Source organism: Homo sapiens, chromosome 2 (assembly GCF_000001405.40).
Source record: "Homo sapiens chromosome 2, GRCh38.p14 Primary Assembly".
In the NCBI taxonomy this organism is placed as follows: domain Eukaryota; kingdom Metazoa; phylum Chordata; class Mammalia; order Primates; family Hominidae; genus Homo; species Homo sapiens.
Window position 1 is genome coordinate 124,551,985 of NC_000002.12, and position 25,461 is coordinate 124,577,445.

Here is a 25,461-nt window from a genome sequence, read left to right on the forward strand (position 1 = left end):
TAACTGCAATAAAAAATGGGCACTTGGGCACACACAGTTAACTACTGTGCTTATTTTCTTAGACAAAGGACCATTTTCTTTTAATTTTTACAAGAGACTTAGAATGTACATGAATCAATAGGGGGCAATAATGAATGGTGATCATGAGGAGTGTGTTATCAGATGAGCTTAATCCAAAGGAGCAAAGGCCCTCCCCATTTAATTTGATTTCTAGAGTTTGATGAGGGAAGTAGAGGGCAGTCGGCTAGACTTGGGTTTAAATGTTCACTCTGCCCTCACTGGAAATCTGGAACTCGCTGAGTCTCAGGAGCTTCACATGAAAAGGTGACCCCACTACACCCCTCGTGAGTACTATGACAGCTGCATCCAGGCAGTGACACCAGGACAGGCCTGGCATCTCATGGGGCCCTTGAACATATTGGCAATGATACATGTCCAGTGCCCACCTTTCCAGGTGGATTGCCCACGCTCAGATATCTGAACATCTTCTTTTGTCCAGCTGGTCTCATTCCTGGGCTTATAATGTGCCTTAGGACAGCTTGACTCTCTTTTTAGAGACCATTTCCTCCATCAGCTGCATGAATGTCCCTTTACCATTGTCTGATAGCAAGCATATACACACATGCACACACATGCACACATATATGTATGTGTGAGTATATCTATAAATTTGTGTGTGTATATATGTGTGTGTATTTATGTATGCACACATGCATATATACAAACTAAAATAAAATATCTCTACATTTCTTTCCAGACTCATTGCAAAAGCCATGAGCAGAAATATACAAAAAGTGAGATGGTACTTATATTCCCACCGGTAACCACTGTTAACAGTTTTCCAGTCCATTGAAGGACTTTCCAATCTCTTTACGTACAGACGTACTATTCGTTTTAATGTCTCATGGCATTCTACAGTATGGGTGTACCATCATTTATTTAACCATTCCCTAAATGGTAGATTATCTATTAATTATGTTTTTAACTGTTATCAATGATAATAATTTTACATTGTTTTTGTGCATGTAAAAATGCATTTCTGGGACATTATATTCTATTTCTGGGAAAGAAATAGAATTCTAGGTCAAAGCAGATATATAAGTTAAGTTTTTAAAATGCCACTGTGTCCATGGCATTGTGGCAATGTTCTTCATATGCTGCATGAGCAGAAAGTATTATAACACAAAACACTGGCAAAGGCTGTAAAGGGACAATGTGTTCCAAGAAGAAATAGTTGGGCCTGGCAGGGTGGCTCACACCTGCAATCCCAGTACTTTGGGAGGCCGAGGCAGGCAGATCTCCTGAGGTCAGGAGTTCAAGACCAGCCTGGCCAACATGGCAAAACACAGTCTCTACTAAAAATACAAATATTAGCTGGGCACACTGGCGCGTGCCTGTAATCCCAGCTACTTGGGAGGCTGAGGCAGGAAAATCGCTTGAACCTAAGAGGTGGAGGTTGTAGTGAGCCGAAATCATGCCACTGCACTCCAGCCTTGGTAGCAGACCAAGACTCTGTCTCAAAAAAAAAAAAAAAAAGTTAGAATGCATAAGGAAAATAAAAGGATTGATTATGCAGTCTCAAAAAAAAGAATGCAAATAAAATGACGCAAAATGTTTTTCTGTAATATTTGCAAATTAAGAAAAATAAAATCCAGAGTTTTCCAATTTTGAGTAAACAGATTTATCAAAATACTACTTAAGGAGTTTAGGGAATTTGGGTGAACAACTTGGCCAATAGATTAAATCTAAAACCTGTTATTTTCACCAAAAGGCAACCATTGTGGAGACAAAGAGACAGACAGAGGAAGGGAAACTAGAGGTAGAATTCAGTGCTCCAGACTGAACAAATGGAAGTGGCTCCCAGGGTCAGCTCCCGGGCATTTGTGCAGAGCCTGATGGAGAAGCTGAAGTTCTCCTCAGGGATATGAGGGCCAAAGGTGGGATTTAAGAACAGAATTGTGAGCCAAGGCAGGTGCCGATGGGAGTGTTCTGGTGCCTGCAAAGGATGATTTTTGAATGTAGAACAGACTTTAGCAAGATTTATTTTTGGTTTTAAAAAAGTGATGTCGAATTTCTTAAAATTTTAAAATCCTTGTTCTTTAAGTTTTTTTTTCTTTTTTTAAAATTCAACTTACAATGTCTTTTTCTATTTATAAATCTAGCAGGTCTTAGCTATCAAGTCTAAGGGACCTTTGGAAATGTTTAATCCTGGATTTAGTTATTTAAGTACCTTCAAATACTTTAAACTACATATGTGATATATTTTATTAACTTTCCAAGTTCATTGATTTGTTAGTGAACAAACAGAATGTGACAAACACTTGTCAAACTTGAACATTCAGAAAATAAACATTTAACTTAAATGAACTTCTTTCTTAGGTTTTTTACTAAGGAAGATTTCAATTAAGGATCTAAATCAGTTGTCTCATACTTTTTTCTTTTTTTTTTTTTTTTGAGACAGGGTCTTACATTGTCACCCAGACTGGAGTGTAGTGGTGAGGTCATAGCCCACTGCAGCCATAAATTCCTGGGCTCAAGCAATCCTCCCACTTCAGCTTCTCAAGTAGCTAGGACTATAGGCGTGCACCTCCATACCCAGCTAATATTTGAATTTTTTTGTAGAGACAGGGTTTCCATGTGTTGTCCAGACTTATCTTGAACACCTGACCTCAAGCAATCCTCCTGCCTCGGCCTCCTAAAGGGCTGAGATCACAAGGGTGAGCCACTGAGCTCAGCCTTACACATTTTAAAGTGAAGTTTACAAGAATTATACTCGAATAGGCCAAATTCTCTTAAAAACTACAAACACAAAAGGACTATTAAAATATCTTCAAAGTTTTATTATAATCTTCCTACAAGAGACACAAACTAGAGCTGGCCAATTCAAAAATTCACTCTTGGCAGGGGATCTTCATAAGAGAAAAGAAAAATGAGATATTCATTGTTAGACTTAATGTTTTTAGAAAAATTTAAAAATTAAAAACTCAATGAATGATTATTAGACTTCATGACTTGATGTAAGACATTAAGATTCTAAGGGTAAGGTTCTTCCTAAGACTGTCAACTGATACTGAGTCTTAACCCTGTTAAAATTCATCATAAATATGCTCTAGTATTTTTTTTAACTTGGGAATGCTATTTTTTTCTGAGAAAAGTGAAAATTACAACACACAGAAGTTTCTGTCCAGGACCAGTTTTGTGACCTTTTTTCTCTTTCAGTACCATACTTCTTTACCCAAAAACATTCATACCATAGTTTTGATTATTTTAAACTTTTGATACTGAATTTGGAAACTTCTGGGCTTAAAAATTGCATGCCTAAGGAAGACGTGTAATGTGCTAAGTGATGAAGATTTGAGGCTGTCAGTGTTGGTGACTGTGGTGGAGCACTTTGGCCTCTATGCGTGGAAGCTCAGACAAGGTCTCCATAACATCCACAGTTGGCTGACCATGAAACCCATATCACTGTATCATTGGATTCAAAGACCAAATATGAATCCTCAATGAATTTTCCATTTGCTTAATACACATTGATGAACTCTTACATTTTTCTGTACTTGTGGGATTATACAACTTAAGTTTTGCAATAAAAAGTTTGGTAGGTTAAATGATTTTATTTGGCTTGCAATGATAACTAATAAGGTCTTTCTACTAAAAGCAGGCAGAGTCTGAAATTTTCTGACATTAGTAGTAAGAAAGAGGAAGCAACCATGTTAACTTACACAGGCTCAGGACACAGAAAAACTCTGTCATGTGCAAAAAATGTAAACTACAAGAGCAGGGCAGGGGCAAAGGCTGTCTTCTGGGTTAATCTATTTTAAAGATTTCACAAACTAGAAGCGAAGAGGGATTGAAAATAGAATTGACATCTCCTTTCCCATTGGGAATTTGTAGAATAAATTTGATATCATTATGTTAATTGTGCAAACGTACATATTTTTTCTTTAGTGTAATTTTATTTCAAATTAATCCATTTGTCATATTAAGATTCCTTTTCCTACCAAAAATTATCTTTAAAAAAAATCTAAACTGACAACTCCACATTGCATAACAGTGTCTGGAATCAGTGCAAAATATGCAAAGCCCCCTAACCCTCACTTTGGCAGAAGTGATGCCTCAGATGTAGGCTTAGGTATCACTTTTAGGGAGATGATCTGGCATTTGTTTGAAGGAGGATGTGCAGTGCTCTAGAGTACAGGCTTCAGTGACAGGTAGTATGCTTCACCTTCCTGACTCTGTCGCTTTGTACTTGGACAAGTTATTCACCCTCATCTAGTCTCACTTTTTAAATCTGTAAAACAGGGGAAATAATACCATTAAAGCAACATCCCAGATGTGATTGTGAGCACATGTCAAAGTTTTTTCAAGCTTCTTGGCCAGGGAAAAGCCTTAAAGAAGCCAAGATCAAAATTTCCTCTTGGTGGAGATATTTTGTAGGAGAATAGGAAGGAAAAAAAAGTTTGGTTAAAAATTATTAAGATAGTCTTAAGGCTAGTTTAAGGTTATTGTATTTTAAAATATGATCTGCCTTAGGTTTTTATGGGATCCCCTTGCTCTTGTGTTGGGAATTAACTGAAGGGGTCAAGAACGGAAGCTGGAAGACCAGTTAGCTGAAAATTGTAGTTATTCTGGTGAGAGATGCTTGTGGCTCAGACTAGAGGAGCATCGGGGTGGGGTGATAAGTGGTGAGAGTCAGGACAGCTTCTGAAGGCCCAGCCAGCAGGAATTGCTCACATCTTGGATATAGGCTATGAGAGAAGGAGAGCATCTTCAAGTTTCGGGACCTAGATACTGGTAAGAAGGGTATTGCCATCAACTGTGATAGCGAAAAACACAGGTGAAGCAGGTGGTGGGGGCAGGGTGAGGGAGGAGATCAGAAAGTCAGGTTTGGTTAAAGGTAACAAGGATCAAGGTGAGCTGGATGGGTAAATTGAATTTTTCAGCAGACTTTTTATCTCATGAAAATCTATCAAAATTGTACAAAGATTTTATCAGGAATGCTAGATATTCTCCTGCCTTCCCCCCCGCTCAAAAAAAAAAAAAGCTCTAAGTTGCATCATGCATAAGGGTTCTGCTTCTGATCCAATTAGAGGACAATTATCTTTCTAAGTACTTAAGCAATAAAGTTGTTAGGGCCCAAAAATACAGCTCAATGGACATAAGTAATCAAAAGGAATTGCATTACTGACTTGCATCCCTAAGTGGCCACTAAAGAACGTCCAATTTATGGTCTCTATCTTACTTCTCCACTCAGAGAAACCTGAGTTTCTCTTCCCTCTCTCAATTGCTCCTTGCCTGTGGCTGCACAGAAGAAGGCTCTTTTTCCACTGTTTTCTCACCTCTTAAAAAAAAAACACAAAAGTGAGGCTCCTTTGCCTGCCCTCTTTCCTACTGAGCTCTGATTGTGCTGCTCAAGAGCGTGCAGGTAATAGTAAATGGGTGAAGGCCAGCAAGGCTGTGACAAACTGAAGAGGCTTAGCTAACAGAGGGCTGCACCCCAGAAATGCCTGTCATTCATTCACTCAATCTACAACAATTTATAGAGTGCCTACCTTGCTTCCTACTTTGGGTACGTCAGTGGACCAAACAGACAACAAGCAGCGCTCTTATGGAGCTAACGTTCATTTTCAGAGAAACAGACACTGAATCATAAACTGATGGATAAGCAGAGTATCTAGTGTGTCAGAAGATAATACACACTAAAGACAAATAAAATGGCAGGAAAAGAGATTCCAGGGAAACAATGAGGAAGGTTTGCACATTAAATAACATGATGGTGGCAGGCCCCTTTGAGAAGGTGACACTTGAGCAGGAACATGAGCTGAGACATGGGGCATGTGGACATCTGGGGAAAAATGCTTTGGGTAGAGAGAATTCCAGTGCAAGAACCCTGACAAGGTAGCATTCTTGGTGTGCTTTAGGAACAACAAAGTCAACATGGTTGGAGCAGATGTAGAAAAGGGAAAAGTGTAGGGGTGAGTTGAGAGTGTTAAGGGGAGCAGATCAATAAGAACTGGAAGATCATTTTAAGGATGTTGCTTTTACCCTAGATAAAATAGGGAGCCAGAGGAGACGCGTTTAAAATGATCTGCCTTAGGTTTTTATAGGGTCCCCCTTGCTCTTGTGTTGGGAATTAACTGAAGGGGTCAAGGATGGAAGCTGGGAGACCAGTTAGTTGATAATTGCAGTTATTCTGGTGAGTGATGCTTGCATCTCAGACTAGAGGAACATCAGGGGAGGGGTGATAAGTGGTGAGATTCAGGACAGCTTCTGAAGGCCCAGCCGGCAGGAATTGCTCACATCTTGGATATAAGCTATGAGAGAAGGAGAGGACCTTCAAGTTTAAGAACCTGGGTACTAGTAAGGAGGGTGTTGACATCAACTGTGATAGTGAAGAACACAGGTAAAGCAGGTGGTGGGGGCAGGGTGAAGGAGGAGATTGGAAAGTAATATCTATTAGACACCCACGTGGAGCTGTCCAGCAGACAGCTGCGTAGAGGAGTCTGGAGTTCAGGAGCGAAGACTGAACTCAGATCTAAACGTTGAAGTCACTGGTGTGTAGCCGTGAGATTTGCTTTGACTTTGCTCAGTAATCTTATTTTTGCTTTAAAAGAAGCCAAAAATTCATATTTCTTCTGTGAAACTTTACAAATTAAAAACAAACTGCCAGACTGCATTTCCCTGAACTGTCTTGATTCCTACTGCTTTCATCACACTTTTCCCAGGCCTCATCCACTCCAGCTGGAAACTTCAGCCCGGCCCCAGTTAAAGCTAAGTTACAGAGAAATAACCACTCTGATCTTCCTGAAGGAAAGCTGTGGGGGTCCTTTTGTTCTTCTTAAGGCTGACCTAGAGAGAGCATGTTCTGCTGAAAGTGTGCTTGCCAGGATGAAATTGGACTCCAGTTTACATACTCAGAAATGTCTGTCTCTAGTCTACCTAGTGGCTCAATCTCACAACATCCTACAAAATCTTATCTCTGCTCTGAAGCAGTTTATTTGGCTTTCTCCATTGCTGTGCATTTGCCTTTAAAAAGAAATACTTTGTTTCTTCATATTTCCCATGAACAGCAAAACACAGTACAAAACAACCACCTTGAGGCCCAAACCATGTACCTCTGTAGGATGGACTGTGAGCTTAGGTCCATGGACCACTCTAGATAAACCTTTTCACTTTATCTATTACCTGGATTGTCAATAGCCCCACCTAGCAATGATCCTTCTCTTTTGGAAGAATTTTTTATTTGGATAAACATTATAAAGACTTTTAACCCTCTGACTTTTTTTTTCTCCTTTCATTCCTATCTCTTTTCTTTCTTTCAATCCTTTATCTCATTTCCCTTAAGACAATGCACATTCTGCTTTTATACAGAGGCTAACAGCTTCCAATGTGTCTGCCACACTATCTAAGTTTTTCCTGGGACACATCACCAGGGCTTTGGGGAGTAAGAGGAAAGCCATTGTGTCCATGCTGAAAGCTTTCTTTGTTAAACATTGTGCACCAAAGGAGGTCACATCCATCCAGATGCAGTTATAGATGCAATATCGTTAGGATTTTAGAAGACAGATGTTCAATGTGTTTATCTCCTAGCAATTTGGATTAAGAGCCTTACACCTAAAAGAGTGAGTGCCCTCACGCTTAATTCACTCTTTCCACTTCCCAGTTCTATGATGGGTCTTTTTCTGGGTTAATGTCTTCGATGCTCAGTTTATGCCACGTAGACAGAGAAAGAAACAAAAGCCCAGTTAAAATGAGCTGATTAAAGAATGTGGAAATTATACTCATGAAACTGCCCCTTTTAAATAAGAAAATTGGTGTCATGTGTCTTTTATCTCAAGCGTCTTCTTTACAGATGAGTTTTTCTAATCACAGTGTGCATTGAACCAAAATGAACCAAGCTTGAAGGCAGCTCTACTAGTGCTCATTTATTATTATTTTTTCTTTCTCATTCTGGGAAAACTAGATTTTTCCTTGCTCAAGTACTCTTTTACCCTTCCAGGAATGCATCATTGGCTTTTCTGAGTGACCATAGACAAATGAGTTTCTAGTAAGTTAATAAAGATGTAGTTTCTACATTTTTATGGTAAATTGAGTTTATCATTGTAAAACAAGGTCTGTGTGAGGCATATTAAATATGTGTTCTAAGTGCCCAGATATTTCTTAGAGCTTTCCCCTAAACCCTTCTCCCAACATGCCGAAGTAGATTTTGTAATCTTTTGTTTTAAAAACATTTAAAGTGGGGCAGGTGCCATGTGGCTCATGCCTCTAATCCCAGCACTTTGAGAGGCCGAGGCAGGTGGATCACCTGAGGTCAGGAGTTCCAGACCAGACTGGCCAACCCGTAGTAGAGATGGATAAACCTCATCTCTACTAAAAATACAAAAATTAGCTGGGCATGGTGGCAGGCTCCTGTAATCCCAGCTACTCGGGAGGCTGAGGCAGGAGAATCGCTGGAACCCAGGAGGTGGAGGTTGCAGTGGGCTGAGATCTTGCCACTGCACTCCAGCCTGGGTGACAGAGCAAGACTCCATTTCAAAAAAAAAAAAAAAAAACTAAAGTGCAGAAAACGTTTCTTTTTCTTTTTGTAATTACAGGATTCTTCTTTCTTACCCAAAGTTAAAATTCTGTTAGTTGAATGTAAGAGAATCCCAGCTCGGACTATCCTAATTGCATTGGGGATTTTTCTGGAAAAGGGTTAGGCTACTTCACAGCATCTAATATATATGAAAATAGCCAGCTCTTAGGAAGTTCACGGGTGCAATGAAGTCTCAAGGACAGCAGGGACCGACCACACAGTGTTGGCATCCCCCTTTTTTGCTGCTTGCTGCATGTCAGCATATTTTTTGTTTATTCTGTCTCTCTTTCACTGCAGACAAATTTTCTTGTGTCTCAAAACTTGACCACTGAGAATGTCTGGGTTTTTTATTTTATAGTTTCAGCCACCAAAAAAAGTCAACCCTGAACTTTCTTGGGGCCCAAAACAACAAAAAAAAAAACTACAGAATAAGCACCTATTGAGTGTGCTTTGCTCAGTTTTTCTTTCTTAAGGCAATTTCTTGTTTTGTTGGGGGAGGGCAGCAATAATACTATCATTTGCTCATATGGAAATCTCTGTTTGTGTTTACGTGTGTGCTGTGGGGAGGGGATGGGCTGGGGCAAAAGGAGGTGTGGAAAGGTCATGGAAAAACTGGGCAGCTTCAGAAGAGAAAATTATGGCACAAGGTAAACTGCAGAAGAAGCAGTATTTCAGAAGCAGGGAGATGCTGGGATGTGAAAGGAAACAGCGTGTGGGGACAGGGGGCATTCAAAACAGTGCTAGCCCCCCAGGATCTCCTGAGGACATGCCTGGAGAAAGAAATCCTTACTGGGATGAGGACATCAAGGCTCTAAGTTTTTGGAACTTCCCTCCCAGCACAGGCATAGAGCAGGACAGGATCTCTGAGTTACCCAAGAGAAAAGCCTGTGGCCTCTGCTGTCCACCAAGACCAGGAGAGTGGGTGGGAATAAAAAGGAAAGGTAGAATTTGAACAGAGAGAGGACCACTTTTTTGTTTGTTTGTTTGTTTGGTTGTTTTGTGTGAATACATCCCGTAACAAAACTATGGGTCCTTTATTTAAATCTTTCCTGTACTTTAGGCTATCGTTGAATACCATAAAGTTATCAACAAGCTTTTCCCAAACATAAGCCCTGTCAGCACAATTGTATATTTGCTGTGCTGAGCAGAAAATTTCTAATATGTCTGAACATATGCAGGAATATTAGTTTCTGGGATTTGAAACAATCATTGCTGGAGGCTTTCCTACTTATATAGGGCAGTCAGAGTAAATCATCTTACTTTTGCTTGCCTCAGATTCTTAGTGGCTTCACAATGAACCCATTTGTTGTATTATATACCACTTCTGTAACTTCATTGCTTGCACCCTCTCTCTTTTTAAATTCGCGGAATTTATTTTCCTGTACTCTCTCAGGCCCTATAAAGATTGTTTTCAAAAATTATGGTATGTATCATTGTTTTTACTCTTAATTTCATTCACTGCATTTACTGAGCACCAACCAGGTTATCTCTTAATGGTGGCAGTATAAGAGGTGCAAAGAATAACCCAAAGGCACCATGTAGTAAAGGGGATTTGAACTCAGATACATGTCTCCCTAAAGTCTGTGATTTCTGTCTGGAAGAAAAAAATGTTACCTCCACTCCCATTAGCCCAAGTCTAAAGATTTTTCCTTTCAACTATTTTTGAAGTTTATAAAGCCTGTGTTTTATTTTGTGGTGTTCATGCTTCGTATCTTAAACTTTTACTTAATCTATTATAATCATGTTTGTCCTGTTATAATCATGTTTGTTATAATCATGTTTGTTCTGTTATAATCATGTTTGTCCACATCATTTGTTGGAGTTTTATGATAGTCCATTAATTTTATGTACTACAGATTTCCTAAGTAATTTTCTAATGTTGGACACTTATGTTGATTCACCATTATGAATGGCATCATTGTGAATAACACTAATTAGCATATATATTTTTCATATTTTGAACAATAGCCTTAAGACAAGGTCATCTCAGTGTGATTGCTGATTCTAATTATATAAATATTTTATGGAGTTTTTAATGTGTGTGGTAAAAATATTTTTCAGAATAGCCATGTTATTTTGACCTTAAGTAGTGAAGCCTTTGTTTTAAGGATAGCATTTACACTTTTACAAATGATAAAATACCCTTGCATTTTAGATGAACAAATATCATCTTTTCTAACTTCGTGTTGTCTTTGTGCAGTTTAAAATAGATACCTGGTCATTCCCCAAAAGAGAAGCATGAGGACAATGACCTCAATTATCTGCCTCTCCTTTAAAAATACAAAACCATTAAAAAATGTAAAATGATTATCTTTATACATTTTATTTTTTAGTAAGTGAAAAACCTTACAAATTCTGACCACTTCAAATTAACTTTAAGTCAACATGAATTTGCCTCAATATTAACATCCTTAACTTAAGTACTTACATCAGCTTTGCGACTTTCATTGCGCAGTAATGCAAGGTGATTCTACCTTTTGTGCTAAAACTGTAATATTCATACTATTTTGATGTCATTCAATCTGCCTTAGGTATGGGAGTATAGCAAATCAATATCTACTATTAATTGAGGCAGTTGGATATGAGACATTTTTGCTTTCCCCTTTCTGCCAAATGATTTGGTTTATTTTCTTTTCATTTATGTTTTCTTCCATTAGGTGTTTGCCAAACTACTGTGAACATGGAGGAAGCTGCTCCCAGTCCTGGACTACCTTCTATTGTAACTGCAGTGACACAAGTTACACTGGTGCCACCTGCCACAACTGTGAGTAGATTGATCATTTGCCCCTGGTGGCTTGGACAAAACTCCAGGAACACCATTGTTAACTTCAGGATGTATTTAGCATGGGGCAGGCATGTTTTATTCACTCATTCAGCATGTGTGTTTTAAGAGGTTATTATATACCAAACACTTTGTTGGGCTCAGAGGATGCATGGATACAAGCCATATTCTTGTGGAGTTTATGGTCTACCAGCAAGACAGGCAGGAAATGAGATCATGACAGTACAGTTGAATAAGTTTAAGGTGGAAGCAAAGGAAGGTGCTGTAGGCACACAAGAGGGAGCTGTTAAGTCAATTGCATAGTCTTGATGAGTTGTTAGGTGGCTATAATAAACAAACTAACATCTCTGTGGTCTAAGTAACAAGGTCCATGCTATACCTGTGTCACATACCCATCATGCATGACAAAGGCCCTTCTTCCACCTTGTCCTTGTTCTTAGATGGTAACAAAATTCTATTATCTGGAAGATTGCTGTAGTAAGAGGAAACACAGGGAGGGAAGCACAGGGAAACATGGGCTAGCTTTTCAAAGCTTCTACTTGGAAGTAGCAAACATTACTTCCACTCACATTCCACTGGCCAAATAAAGCCACGTGGGCACACCCAACCTCAATAGGGGCTGAAGTGCAATCTTGCCGTGGAATGGGAGAAAACAGAACCTGAATATTGGTGAAAAGTGCTAATGACTGCCTGTCAACCGCAGTGTTAGGGAGACTTCAAATAGAAGAACTGAGCTGATCTTGTTGTAGAAATATGGGAGGAAACAAAAACAAGAAAGAAACAAAAAGGATACTCAGAAGCAAAGAAACAAATGGAGACATAAAGCACAGGGGTCCTCTGCTCTGTGGAAAATTGGAATTTTCAAATAGTTTCAGATGGCTGGAGGGTGCTGAAGGTGAGGAGGAGTGATAAGAGGGGAGACAGAGATAGGCTAGGGTGTACACAAGATAAGGAGTGAGGGATAGAAAACAAATAAAGAATATGAGCCTTGATTTTTTATTTGTTTATTTATTTATTTATTTATTTTTTGAGAGAGAGAGTTTTGCTCTTGTTGCCCAGGCTGGAGTCCAGTGGCACGATCTTGGCTCACTGGAACCTCCGCCTCCTGGTTTCAAGTGATTCTCCTGCCTCAGCCTCCTGAATATCTGGGATTACAGGTGCACACCACCACACCGGGCTAAATTTTGTATTTTTGGTGGAGATGGGGTTTCACCGTGTTGGCCAGGCTGGCCTCGAACTCCTGACCTCGTGTTCCGCCTGCCTCAGCCTCCCAAAGCACTGGGATTACAGGCCTGAGCCACTGTGCCCAGCCCAGCCCTGATTTTTATAATTGTATAGTCTTATTGAGACCACGGGTAGGGGGAAACACATGAAAAAGTATAGAAAGTTTGCCAGTCAGAGAAATGTATGCCCAACTACGGACTATAAGTGTGATTGAGAAAGATAATTCTGAAATCACTGTCTGGAATTGCAGAGCATTTCATGAAAAATTAGAAATTTGAAATTGGCTTAGAAGGTAGAAGGGTAAGATAAACATTTTCTAGACGTAAGAGTGCAGCCAACGCCTGGAGCTCTTCTGAGGACTCCAGTGAGAACTATCGCTCAGGGACAGTTCTCTCCGGTTTTTCTTAAGTGCCTGCTGTTTTTGGGCTGGCACTTGGGGATGCAGAAAGAGCATGGTAGATGCCAATAGGGCTGGAACCCTGGGATTCCAGCCAAGGATAAGTAACGTTGATATTCTCATCTTTAAAGACCTCTCAGCCATTCCTTAGCCTCTTCCATTCCTTCAAAGCAGGATTCACTGATGATGTCCATAGGGAAGTCTGATCAATTTAGAGAAGAACTAGTCCACTAGTCCACTGGTCATCAGGGAGTGATGTGGTTATTGCTGTTAGTTGCCTGCAGAAACAAAAAAAATATTGTTTGGCTTTATAAAAATATATCTCATTAAAACTTTTCTACTGATAAATTTAGAAATCAAAGTAACTAGAAGAGTATCATTGGATTGTTCATACCACAAAGGATAAATGCTTGAGGGGATGAATACCCAATTTTCTATGAAGTGATTATTATGCATTGTATGCCGGTACCAAAATATCTCGTGTACCCCATAAACATATACACCTACTATGACCCACAAAAATTAAAAATAAAAATACAATTAAAAAGAAATTTAGAACAGTGAAAAGAACAATAGAATAACAGAGATTGAATTTAAATTTTACCTAGATCCTTTTTTTTTTTTTTTTTTTTTTTTTTTTTTTTTTTTTTTTTTTGAGATGGAGTCTTGCTCTGTCACCCAGGCTGGAGTGCAGTGGCGCGATCTCGGCTCACTGCAACCTCCGCCTCCCAGGTTCACGCCATTCTCCTGCCTCAGCCTCCCGAGTAGCTGGGACTACAGGTGCCCACCACCACGCCCAGCTAATTTTTTATATTTTTAGTAGAGACGGGGTTTCACCGTGTTAGCCAGAATGGTCTTGATCTCCTGAACTCGTGATCCTCCCGCCTTGGCCTCCCAAAGCGCTGGGATTACAGGCGTGAGCCACCACGCCCGGCCTTTACCTAGTTCTTCTATGTGAATACGTATAAGATTTTATCAATTGAGGGATCCTTTTTTTTTTTTTGCAGATCCTAGGAAGAAAAACTAATGAACTCTTGTGGGTCCATCTAAGGCTAAAATTATGTGTTTTTATCTAAGAGTCCCAGTAAACACCAATCTCTAGGTTTTAAGTCTGGTTCCAAAAATATTATCACCAAATAGCCAAGAACACCATATACCTATAGAGAAATGTTGCAGGACCCCCATAAGGCTGTCCAGATTGTAACGTCAGTGCTGCTGTAAGAAGTCAGAGACAACTGAAATGGCCATCAATTTAATAGCAAGACAAGGGAAACATGAAGATTTAAGTCAAAACAACCCGAATTTCAGCCAAATCACATTACAACATTCCCGTGACTGTTAAAGCTTATTCCGCTCACTTTCTCCAAAAGTAATTTAACAATTTTTTGAGGAGTTCATCTCTATGGATACTGTTCTCCTTTAATTTACTTCATCCATCAGGCTAAAAATAGAAGATGTCGAGCTTTAAAAAAAAGTGTGAAGTTGAAAATCAATGGAGGTGAGGTGCTGATTTTTAAAGGAACACTGTCAAGCCTGATGAGCAGGAGACTCAACACACAAAAACCTTAAAAATATCATTTTTTAACACCTTCCTATTTCCTTTTCTGTGAAATTGCTCAATGCCTACACTGTAGGCTGCAACTTTGTGAAACTCTATCTTTGCTTCTGGGCACTCAGCCAGGACAAATCAAAATCCCTTGAATATTTGTGACATTTGGCAAGCACACCTTGGTTCCCTGTGCAATTCAAATATTTGTCCTCCCTCTAACTAATTTCCCCCTCCCCCAGTTGAATGAGGACCATTGTTTTTAGTCATTTTGCAAACCAAGTGATTTCATCAGCAAGCTTGTGCCTCACTCTCAGCAAGCATGGGTCCCACTCACAGGCCAGGTGAGAGCTTCTGCAGTGCAGAAGATGGCACACAGGGCACCCTTTGGCAAAAACAAAAACAAATAGGCCTGAAATTCTGCACTTGTGGAAATGACAGAATCCTTGCTGTGTTTGAGGGATGTTTTACTGAAGGAATTGACCACAGTCGAAACAAGAAATACAAACTCTTTGGATTAATAAATTATTTATAATAATTTCTTGAGTATTCTCTTAGTTTTGTCAAGCTCTTCGAAAACAGTCTTTTCCCCCTCATTGTTGGTGCTTTCTAGTAAATGTGAAGCAAGAGGACAGACTTAGGACAGATAGGATTAACTTTTTTTGTCCAGCCTTTGTGGATAAGAGAGGTCCTGGGTGAGGCGGGCACAATGGACTCTCTAAAAAATAACAGAATGGAAATTCCCAAAGCGTGTAGACACAGCATGCTGCTGTCGAAAGTAGAGATATCTTCAGTCCGTCTTAATTTTCTTATCCTTACCTGATGATACTTAAGGGACTTGGATATGCTAATTTGGTCACTTTTCAAACATACATCATTCAAAACTACCTTTTTAAGAAAAACATGATGAATGTGTGGGCAATTTCTGTCCAATCTGTGGCAGCTTTCCCATATGAAGAGGAAACCTACCTCATAAAGTGCCATTGGAGACTATTATATGATGTTTGTAAGTTGTTATGGTTAGAAAATTTCTCCCAAAGTGGTATCCTATTCTCCACAGGAGTAACCGAATAAAAACAGTGTTTGCACTCCACCAGATCAATCCCTGGCAACCCAACCAATGTTCAATGCCTTCCGACTCCCAGAGACAGATACCATGGTTATTAGTGGAATATAACGTGCAAGTTCAGAAGCCTGTATAATCAAAACCAAGCTTCTAAGTACTCAGGGTATATTTTGGTCATGGTATGTCATATCTACTTTATTACAAATCCAAATTAAGATTAAAAGGAGCAGGTTTTTGATTGTGGGATATTAGGGCATAGATGATAGATAGATAGATAGATAGATAGATAGATAGATAGATAGATAGATATAGATAGATAGATACCATTACAACATATCAATAAAGGGATATGCATAGTGTTATTATTTCCATTTTACAGATGAGAACATTGAGGCCCAGAAAGCTTATGTAAATTCCACAAGGTCTCATATCTAGTAAATGGTAGAAGTTGGGCTTTAAGCCAAGAGAATCTGCGTGTTGATGCCAGATGCTAAATCCTGCATCTTATTTCTTCCTTCAAACAAGCAAGGCATTTGCAAACCTCTGTATTACAAACTTGGTGATGGGACATTCATGACCTCTTTTATATTGCTTAAGACGCAGTAGAATAGTGTGAGATCATAATTGAAAATACAGTTCTAGAAGACTGAGAGATGAGAAAGTTTTTGTGTTCTAGAATAATCATGAAAGCATTATGGAAGGAAGTAGAATGACTTGGAGGACATCTAAAATTGAAGTAGACAAAAGGAAAAGGGAGGTCTGTCGAAAACAGACTGTCAAGGGCTAAGACATGATAGTAGACATACATGTGCTGTATTCTGGGACAATGCAGAACTTGCCTGGCTCAAAAAAAGAAAACATGAATTGCACTAGTCATTCATTCCTGAAGGCCAAATGAGATTCCTATAAAGCACTTTCCCCTAGAGAATACTGAAGCACACTTACTATTATAACCAGAGCTTTTCACATGCTACTGCAACACCTCTAAATATTATTTTAATAACTCCAAATTATTTTAATAACACCAAAATAAGTAGCCCAAGACGTTTTTGTTTCTATATTCAACCATCTTAATATTTTTCTTTGTCTTTCTTATTCTGGTGAGAGAGGCAGAGGATCTGTTTTGTTTCCAAATATTTATTATTGTAGCCAGCACTATGTTAAGCATCTTTGTATTTAAGTATTTTCTGGCCGGGCGCGGTGGCTCACGCCTGTAATCCCAGCCCTTTGGGAGGCCGAGGCGGGCAGATCATGAGGTCAGGAGATCGAGACTATCCTGGCTAACACGGTGAAACCCCGTCTCTACTAAAAAAAATACAAAAAATTACCCTGGCGTGGCGGCGGACGCCTGTAGTCCCAGCTAATCGGGAGGCTGAGGCAGAAGAATGGCATGAGCCTGGGAGGCGGAGCTTGCAGTGAGCCAAGATCGCGCCACTGCACTCCAGCCTGGGCGACAGAGCGAGACTCTGTCTCAAAAGAAAAAAATATATATATATATCTTTTTTCTAATACCACAAGTTCTATGGTTTACTTAAACAAACCTCAGAAACTGCTTTATTGAGTAAAAAGTTCTGAATGGTTTTAAGAATCTTGATTCATATTTCCAACTTGTTTTCCTAAACTCTTATTACGGTTTACACTCTGATCACTACTTTCTGAGATCTTGTTTTACCTTCTCTGACATTATTGTTTACTACAACTTGTAAAACGTTTTTACATGTATTTTTACTAACACAGTGGCATATTAAAATAGAGATTATTATTGACCCTCATTGTGAATTCCAGATTAAAAAAAGAGATTTTTTTCAGATGACTTGTATTATAGGAATAAGATTGCTTCCACAATCTTTTTTCAGATGACTTGTATTATAGGAATAAGATTGCTTCCACAGAATTTTCTTTTTTCATTCAACAAGTACTTTTTGAAAGTACATCTGATTCATTAAACTGTGAATTTAGTGATTACTGTCACATTGAACAGATCCAGTAAGTGATACAAGCACTTGTCCTTGATCTTCTCGATGTTTATGTCTGATGACACTCACATGTGCCCTGTTCAGGATCTTTTCACCATTTCTCAGCCTTTGCCAATCCCTTTTCAACAGTGTAGGCTCTCTGACATCCTAACAATGCCCTTTAGCTCATTTTTCAGCTTTGCAGAAGGATGTCAGCTTTCTTCCTCTTCCAAGCCTGATGTAGTGCTTCTTCTATGGAGAAGTCAATAGCCATGTATTAATTTGAAGCATATCAAGTCATCTGGCTATCAGATGTTATAGTAATCATTGCAGAGGGACAACACTTGCTTTAACAGTAGGTAAATGGTCCTTTGACTGCATGTAGTTATGTTAACTAACTACTGAGACTATAAACCTATTTAGGTGAGAAAACATGCCTTACTCACACTTGTACCAGTCACATTCAAGGCTTTGGTGGCATATAGGCTATTATAGAAATGGTGAGACAGAAGATTAAGCAGAAAAAGATAATACAGTGTGCTCTTAGTGGAAATTCCATAAGAACGGGATGATATCTGAATCTTCCCAGGGTCTCCAGCCTCTGATCTAATCCCTGACACATAGTAGATATCCACTCTTTGATGTATACCAAAAACAAATAAATGAATTTATGAGGCATGTGCACATAACAATGTCAAGTTACTGTAGCAAGAGCATTGTTACTTTCTTGAGAAAGTGAGAAAGTGCTCAAAATAATTGACCTTTTAGCAGAGATTTGAGGGATGAGAAAGAGGAAGAGCACCGACAACGGCCTTGCAGGAAGAGTGAGCTCCATGAGCAAAGGCAAAGTGACACGAATGTCAAACAACAAAGTGGGGGCTATGGGACACCTGGCATAGCTAGAATTGAAGATGAAATGGGGGAGGCAGGAAGGAGATGCAGGAAATGCAGCCAGGGTAGAAAAGGCAGACAATGAATTGAGAAGGAACTTACTTCTCTGCTGGCCAACTAAGAGCCAGCCACAGTTTGTTGGGGATCGGGTTGCTAATATTTGTTTGTTGTTTGCTTTGTTCATCAGTTTCTTTTTTTTAATGTAATGGTGATGGTGCTTTGGAGCATATACTGAAGATGGAAGGTGTGGGTACTAGGGACAGATACTGGATGCAATTTGCAATTTTGTGGGCAGCAAATAATGAGAACCAGCACAAGCTAGAAAGCAGGGACCTGATATGAAAGGCATATCTAAAATTGGATCAAGTATACTTAAAGAAAAATTGAACACAGTAGAGAGAAGGATGACTTTTAGCTTTTTAACTTGGAAGACCTCATGGATGGAGAATGGAGTGACTAAGTCCTGAGGTCTGTCTCACTCTGACAGCCTAGTGTCAAATGCAGGCTCTACAAGTTACAAGATATATGACCTAGGGAAAGAAGCCATGTGAGCTCCATGTGCTTTAACTTCCTCACCTGTCATATGGGGCTAATGATAGCAATCATTTCAAAGAAGTATTATGAGGACTGAGTAAAACAATCTTATTTAGCATGGTTCCTGACAAATACAAATTTCCTGTTCCATGTTAGCTGCTGTTTAAATAGACAGAGGATGTGTAGAAAGAGGAGGAGATTTAGTAGTTGGACTTCAGTCTAGTTTGGGGCACAGTATTTGCCTGGAAAGTTTCCCACTGTGCAGAATTAGCTGGAAAACTCTGGAGGGAGGTCCATAGGGAATATCAGAATCAGTGGGTGTATAGTTGCTGAAGCCTTTTGAGTAGATGAAGTCAATCAGGTGTGGTAGGCCAAGTGTGGGACCTTGAAAGTAAAATATTTTAAGAGACTCAAGAAGAGATACAATCAAGAAGGAATGATAGCCAAAACATATAAATAAAGTACTACGGAAAGTGTAACCTAGGAGTCAGAAGAGGGATGTTTCAGGAATAGACTATTCACAGAGATGTCTAGGTACATGGTATCCCACTGAGTACTTTTTTTTCTTTTTTCTTTTTTTTTTTTTTTTTTTTTGAGACAGAGTCTCACTCTGTCACCCACAGGCTAGAGTGCAGTGGTGCGATCTTGGCTCACTGCAACCTCCGCTTCCCAGGTTCAAGCGATTCTCCTACCTCAGCCTCCCGAGTAGCTAGGATTACAGGCACAGGCCACCACACAAGCTAATTTTTGTATTTTTAGTAGAAATGGGGTTTCACCATGTAGATCAGGCTGGTCTCGAACTCCTGACTTCAGGTGATCCACCCATCTCAGCCTCCCAAAGTGCTGGGATTACAGGCCGAATACTCTTTCATCATAATGATTGGTAATTGTTAAACGACTGGATAGATGTTTAGGGAGAAGATGGAAAAAAAGCACAATAAGGGGGAAAAATGAAATAAGCAAACCAATAAAATTCAACCTGAGGAAGCTAATTCAAAAAAAGAAAGAAAGAAATCAGTAATTTTCTGTCGGCAGCCTAAGACTGTGGCAGTATTGGAATGCACTGGAATTTGCTGATCCAAGAGAATTTGTTTGTTGATGAGTATCCCAGATTTTGTCAGGATCTAGGTGATTCAAAAGCATTCACTGCTGTTGAGAGGATTTCATTCTCCTTCAGGAGAAAAAACTCCAACCTCCTTGAATCCGTTAATGAACAGTGAATGCACTGTGCAATTGAGTGCACAGGACTGCCTGTAAGGGGGAATGCTTCTTCTGGGAGGGAGAGATCTGAGCAGGCTGAACTGGATGTGAGAAAGTCTTCTTAAAAGGAAACAGCAGATACTGGGGTCTACCTGAGGGTGGTGGGGTGGGAGGAGTGAGAGAAGCAGAAAAGATGAGTATTGGTTACTGGGCTTAATACCTGAGTGATGAAATAATCTATACAACAAACCCCCATGACACGTGTTTACCTATGGAACAAACCTGCATGTGTACCCCCAAACCGAAAATAAAATTTAAAAAGGAAGAAAGTCTTCTTAAAGAAGAGATTGGACCTGGGCATAAAGGCTGGACTTGGGGAGTCAGATAGGTGTCAGGAGGATGTTTTTCAAGGGTGGATATTAAAATAAGAACCAAAAATAAGGATGAGCACAGGGGATGTTTGGGGTTCACCCAGTGCTCTAGCCTAAGGGGAAAGGAATGGACATTTGTTGAGCCCTATGTAAGTGCCGTATGCTTTACTCAGTGGTGAATACATGTCATCTCACATTCTCAGCTCTAGCCCTGTTAGACTCCGGCGGCTCTTCAAACAACTAGACCTTCAGATTTGCACATCTCTTGGCCACAAAGACTTCTTACCACTGTCTTTTCCTGAAGAAAATCTGTCAACTGATGCAAGAAATCTGAGCGGACCTTTTGCAGCTATTACTTCTTTTTGCTCCTTTAGCATTCTCTCACATAGCACTTATTCTACCGTATAAAAATTGTCTGCTTCTTGTTTTTCCTTGCAAACTGCCACTTTTCTATGCATTTCTCCTTGCATATTTGGCACCTAGTTACACATAGTAGACAATCACTGAATGTAAACATTCTTTTATGGCCAAAATGCTTAAAGCCACAGAACCGGTGGAGTTTGACCTTAGTTCTAGATGGCTTGAAAACACTTTCTCTTCACATTACAACATCTTAAGTGCATTGAAGAGCACTCTTAAATATTTTATGGAACACAGAAGGATTTAAAAGCAAAACTAATCCAAAGACTTCTTATCAGAGAAAGGAAGGAATGCAGGGTGTATATTCACCTTGGATTGATTTTCTTCCTTTTGAATACATCTCAGTGATTTGAGAGTTTCCCTCAGTCATATCCTACATGTCAATTGGTTCCATTTCTTCTTTCCTTCCTCTTTATCTATGTCTTTCTCTCCATCTTCCTCCAACCCCTTGTTAATTGAGGATACAGTAAAGCCAACTTCAAATATTTACACTGGGTTGATAAAGAGCAAGAAATGTAATCACAAGTTTTAGCTTTGTTCCAAACCCCTACAAGCAACAAAAGATTCCAAAATGTAAGTGAAGATAATTAACTGAATATAATTTAATTGCTGATGTTGCTTCCATTGGAGAATCATTGATATTTACTTTGAATACCAAGCAAGAAAAATTAGCACCTATTTTTAATGTATTTCAATCAACAGAAGATTAATTGCCAGAAAAATACAAAGCTCTAGTATGTCCCATGAGTAAGAAGTTATCTGGAATATACATACATAAAAAATTCAATATATGAAGACACAGTTTTCATTTGTGCCTCCACTTTGAATCCAGACAGATGGAGGTTATCAATAGCTCTCTGGTATCAGACAAATTATTTAACTTCTTTCAGCCTTGGTTGTTTTTGGTCTCTAAAATAACAGTAACTCCTTTACACAATTGTTATGTGGATTAAAGGCAAGAAACAGACAACATCTAGCACAATATTTGAAATTTGGCATTTCCAGGTTAAATGGTATCTATTACATATATATAAAGTTATTGCCATAAAAGTTTAGAAATACTTTTTCATATAAGAGACATCCTTTCTATGCTGCTAGGTCATATGGCTGTTTTCTACTATGGATTTCTACTATACATTTTTTATACTATAGACTACCAAATAGAGGTTAGGTTTTGGCATAGGTGTTGCCATCAGTAGAAAAACCAAGAGGCAAAACGTCACCAGTAGAACCCCGGTGGCAGGTTGCGGGGGGGACGGGGGATACTCCTGCATGAGTCAGATCCTCTCTGCCACAAATGACCTTAGGCAAGTCACTTACTTTTTGTGATCCATGATTCCTCATGAATACTGTGTGGATTATACGTGGATTATACATGGTCACTAAGGAAAACTGTTTTGATTTGCTCTAGCAGCATGACTCAGAATAAGAATGTGATATAATCTCACTCAATAGTTTCTATTTCTTATCTTAGCCATTTTATAATATTCTAGCCTAAAATAACAATTACATAAACCACATAGTCCACATCTTGTCTATAGAAAGCACTAAGTATTAATTTACACTGTTACCTCAAATAGGCTTTTAAAATAAAACAGGTTAAAACATGAGGAATGTTCTGCAAGCATCACAGCTCTTTCAGCTTCCCCTTGAAGTATTTGGTATAGTTTAATTACTTGGGTTTTCATTTGGAATGAGTCAACTCAAACAGTAATAAGAGTAGTGAGCAATAATAAAACGAAGGCATCATGTGATTGTTCAGTATAATTTATCAGTATTTTTTAAAACTATGACTGACTTGACTAAGTTGTCATGAAATGAAGGAATTTCCAGTGTGTTCATTCCGATTCATGCAAATATATTTTGACTATGTAATTCAGAGACAAAAGTCAGAATACATTTCCCTAGTCATTAAAATTCTATAACACAATAACACTGTGACTTATGTATAGCAAGTTATTTCAGCAATGTGAGCCTCATTTGTGCCATATTCAAGGGAAAATAATAGAATCTGCCCCTCAGTGCTGTTGGGATAAATTCATGAATCAATGGGCGTGAAATCTCTCTGACAAGTATGATCATAACCCTTTCTTATAGATTTCTTCTCATGTATTTACATCATTTTTTTCCCACTGCAACCTTGATGAGGGACGAGGCAAGTACGCTTTAATGTACAGAGGAAAGTCATGAGATGTACAATGGTTTAATATGGAGAGCCCAAGGACATTCAGGTACAACAGCCCAGCAGGACACAAGCCTGAATATTGTGACTCTTTCCAAGATTCTTCAGATATATCATGCTCTAGACAAGGTCAGTTGTTAGGGAAAATCCAGGGTTCTTTTAAAATATAGTTTCTGTTGTTTCCTAAAAGTGACTTTGATTATATCATTGCCCAACTTCAAATTCTTTAGTGGCTCTCTATAATCTTATTGAAGAAAACCCTTTACTATTTGATCTCAGTAAGTGAGGCCTTTCATTATTTGGAACGCTCTTGGGTCACAAACCATTTTCAGTCATGGCCCTGTATGTGTCCACTTTATAGCAGTTGTGATCCACTATTCATTCCCTGAGCATGTTCCGTTTTTCTTATCTTTCCAGTATTTTGGCCTTGAAGTTATTTCTCCTGGAATGTTCTTCCTGACTTGTTTTCCAAATAATTGTCTATTCTCTATTCTACTCTATGCTCTGCTCTAGTATCACCTCCACGTATACAGGTGGCTGCAATAATTGACTTTTGATCTTTCTCTGGCATTAGGTTGAGCTCCTTGAGGTCATGCACTTTGGCTTTTCTTGTTTTTTGAATGTGTTCCCAACTCCTAAACCAGGTCTGGAATATTACTCTTGCAAAATAGGTATTGAGAGAATGGAGTTCTAATTTTCAAATTGTTGGCACTACCTTGAAATATACTTATATCCATTCCTTATTGAGGGAAGGTGAAAGATAGCAAATCAGATAACAGGCCACAACCTCCGTTAGGCTTTCCCTTTTAGCAATCAGGTAGGAAAACTTCCCATTTTTAATTTGATGGAAGAATTGAGGATCCTGCTTTTTATTTAAAGAGTATTTCTTAAAGATCCTCACACTACGTCCCCATTTGCTCTCAAACTAGCTTGTAAATGATTCTTCACTTGGCATAGCTGTAGTTCCAGATTTTAAGATATTAGCATAAATAGGATTTTTGGATGGCTGTATATATCTATATCTATATCTATATCTATATCTATATATATGTGCAGAAAACATGAAAAGGAGATAAAATTTTCCATTGTCATAGCGGGACATGCAACTGAGTTTATTAGTCTGTTAACGGAGGAGTTGTCAAAGTCAGTTTTCAGTGGCACAGATTTCCTGCTGGCAGCTAATGTGATGATGAAGACCCTGGCAATCATTCCCTTGTTCCTGTCTGCTTGATTTTGCTGTCGTGATGCCTGGAAGAGGGAGCTAATATTTCTGTCTGCTAACATTTTATTTCATTACTGCATGTTTACTAAATGGGCATTCAATGGAATAACTGTTACATAACATATGCAGATTAGGGATACCTGCAGCTCACAGGCCATCAGAGGAGAAGCTGGGCTCTCTGGCTTCTACTTTAACAGAAGTCTTCCATCTAATGACATCACTGGGGGAATAGTCAAAACTACAGAAAACAAACCCGTTCTGTATTTGGTTTTGTGTTTAATGGCAATGCAGTATGAAAAAGGAATTGTTTTTGAAGATTAGGCTGCCCTGGGTTAAATTCCAGGCTCTAACAATTACTAATTGAGTGACCTGTGGGAAATTATTCACCTTCTCAGAACGTTAGTTCTCTCATCTCTAAATATAGGGATAGTGATATCTATGTCTTAAAATTTTTTAATAAATAAGAGATTATGCTTAGAGTGGTGGATGCAGTGCCTATATAGGAAGTGCCTGATTAAGTTTACTTATTTTACTTCGTCAGTCCTCTACACTTCTACATTTTCTGGCCATCTGTGCGTAGCTTTTGGACTAGTAGCAAGTTCTGATTTCTATGTTTGGAAGGGACTTTTAAGTGCAAGTATGTTTTCTTGCAGACTTCTTCAAATCGATGCTCTAGAAACGGACTGATAAATACCTCCTGTTATCACTGTAGTTCTCCAGTAGCTATAAGATTTATTTCTTTTAGGTAGTAAAATGTACCTTCTAACTTTCCTTAGTTAGTTTTATTTTGGCTCTCAATGATCCTACTATGGACTTGCCATTTTTTCCGCAGCACTATCATCACGTCTCAGTCGCTTGACATGAAGTACACTGGTGGGCTCCATAGCTCCTGAAATCACTGGATTCAGAACATACCTAGGAACAATCAGAGTGAGAAATTGCCTTTACTTATTTTAATTAGCATGTAGTTTACTTATCATTACATTATAATACATCCCTAAATCAGTGAAAGTAGCTGATTCCACAGTTTATTTTGGCTGTTGTTATGACATAATTTCATTGAGATATTTATTTTTATTCAACACCAATTCTTGTA

The 25,461-nt window shown here is 38.9% G+C and overlaps 1 protein-coding gene across 3 annotated transcripts in view; it reads left to right on the plus strand.

Moving 5' to 3' along the window:
• CNTNAP5 (contactin associated protein family member 5) overlaps positions 1-25,461 on the plus strand; it is an 895,933-nt gene that overhangs the window by 526,698 nt on the left and 343,774 nt on the right. For all 3 annotated transcript variants that reach the window (NM_001367498.1, XM_017003316.2, NM_130773.4), the window contains exon 11: positions 11,233-11,339. In NM_001367498.1, the coding sequence (NP_001354427.1) occupies positions 11,233-11,339 (107 nt within the window). The remainder of the gene's footprint in view (positions 1-11,232; positions 11,340-25,461) is intronic.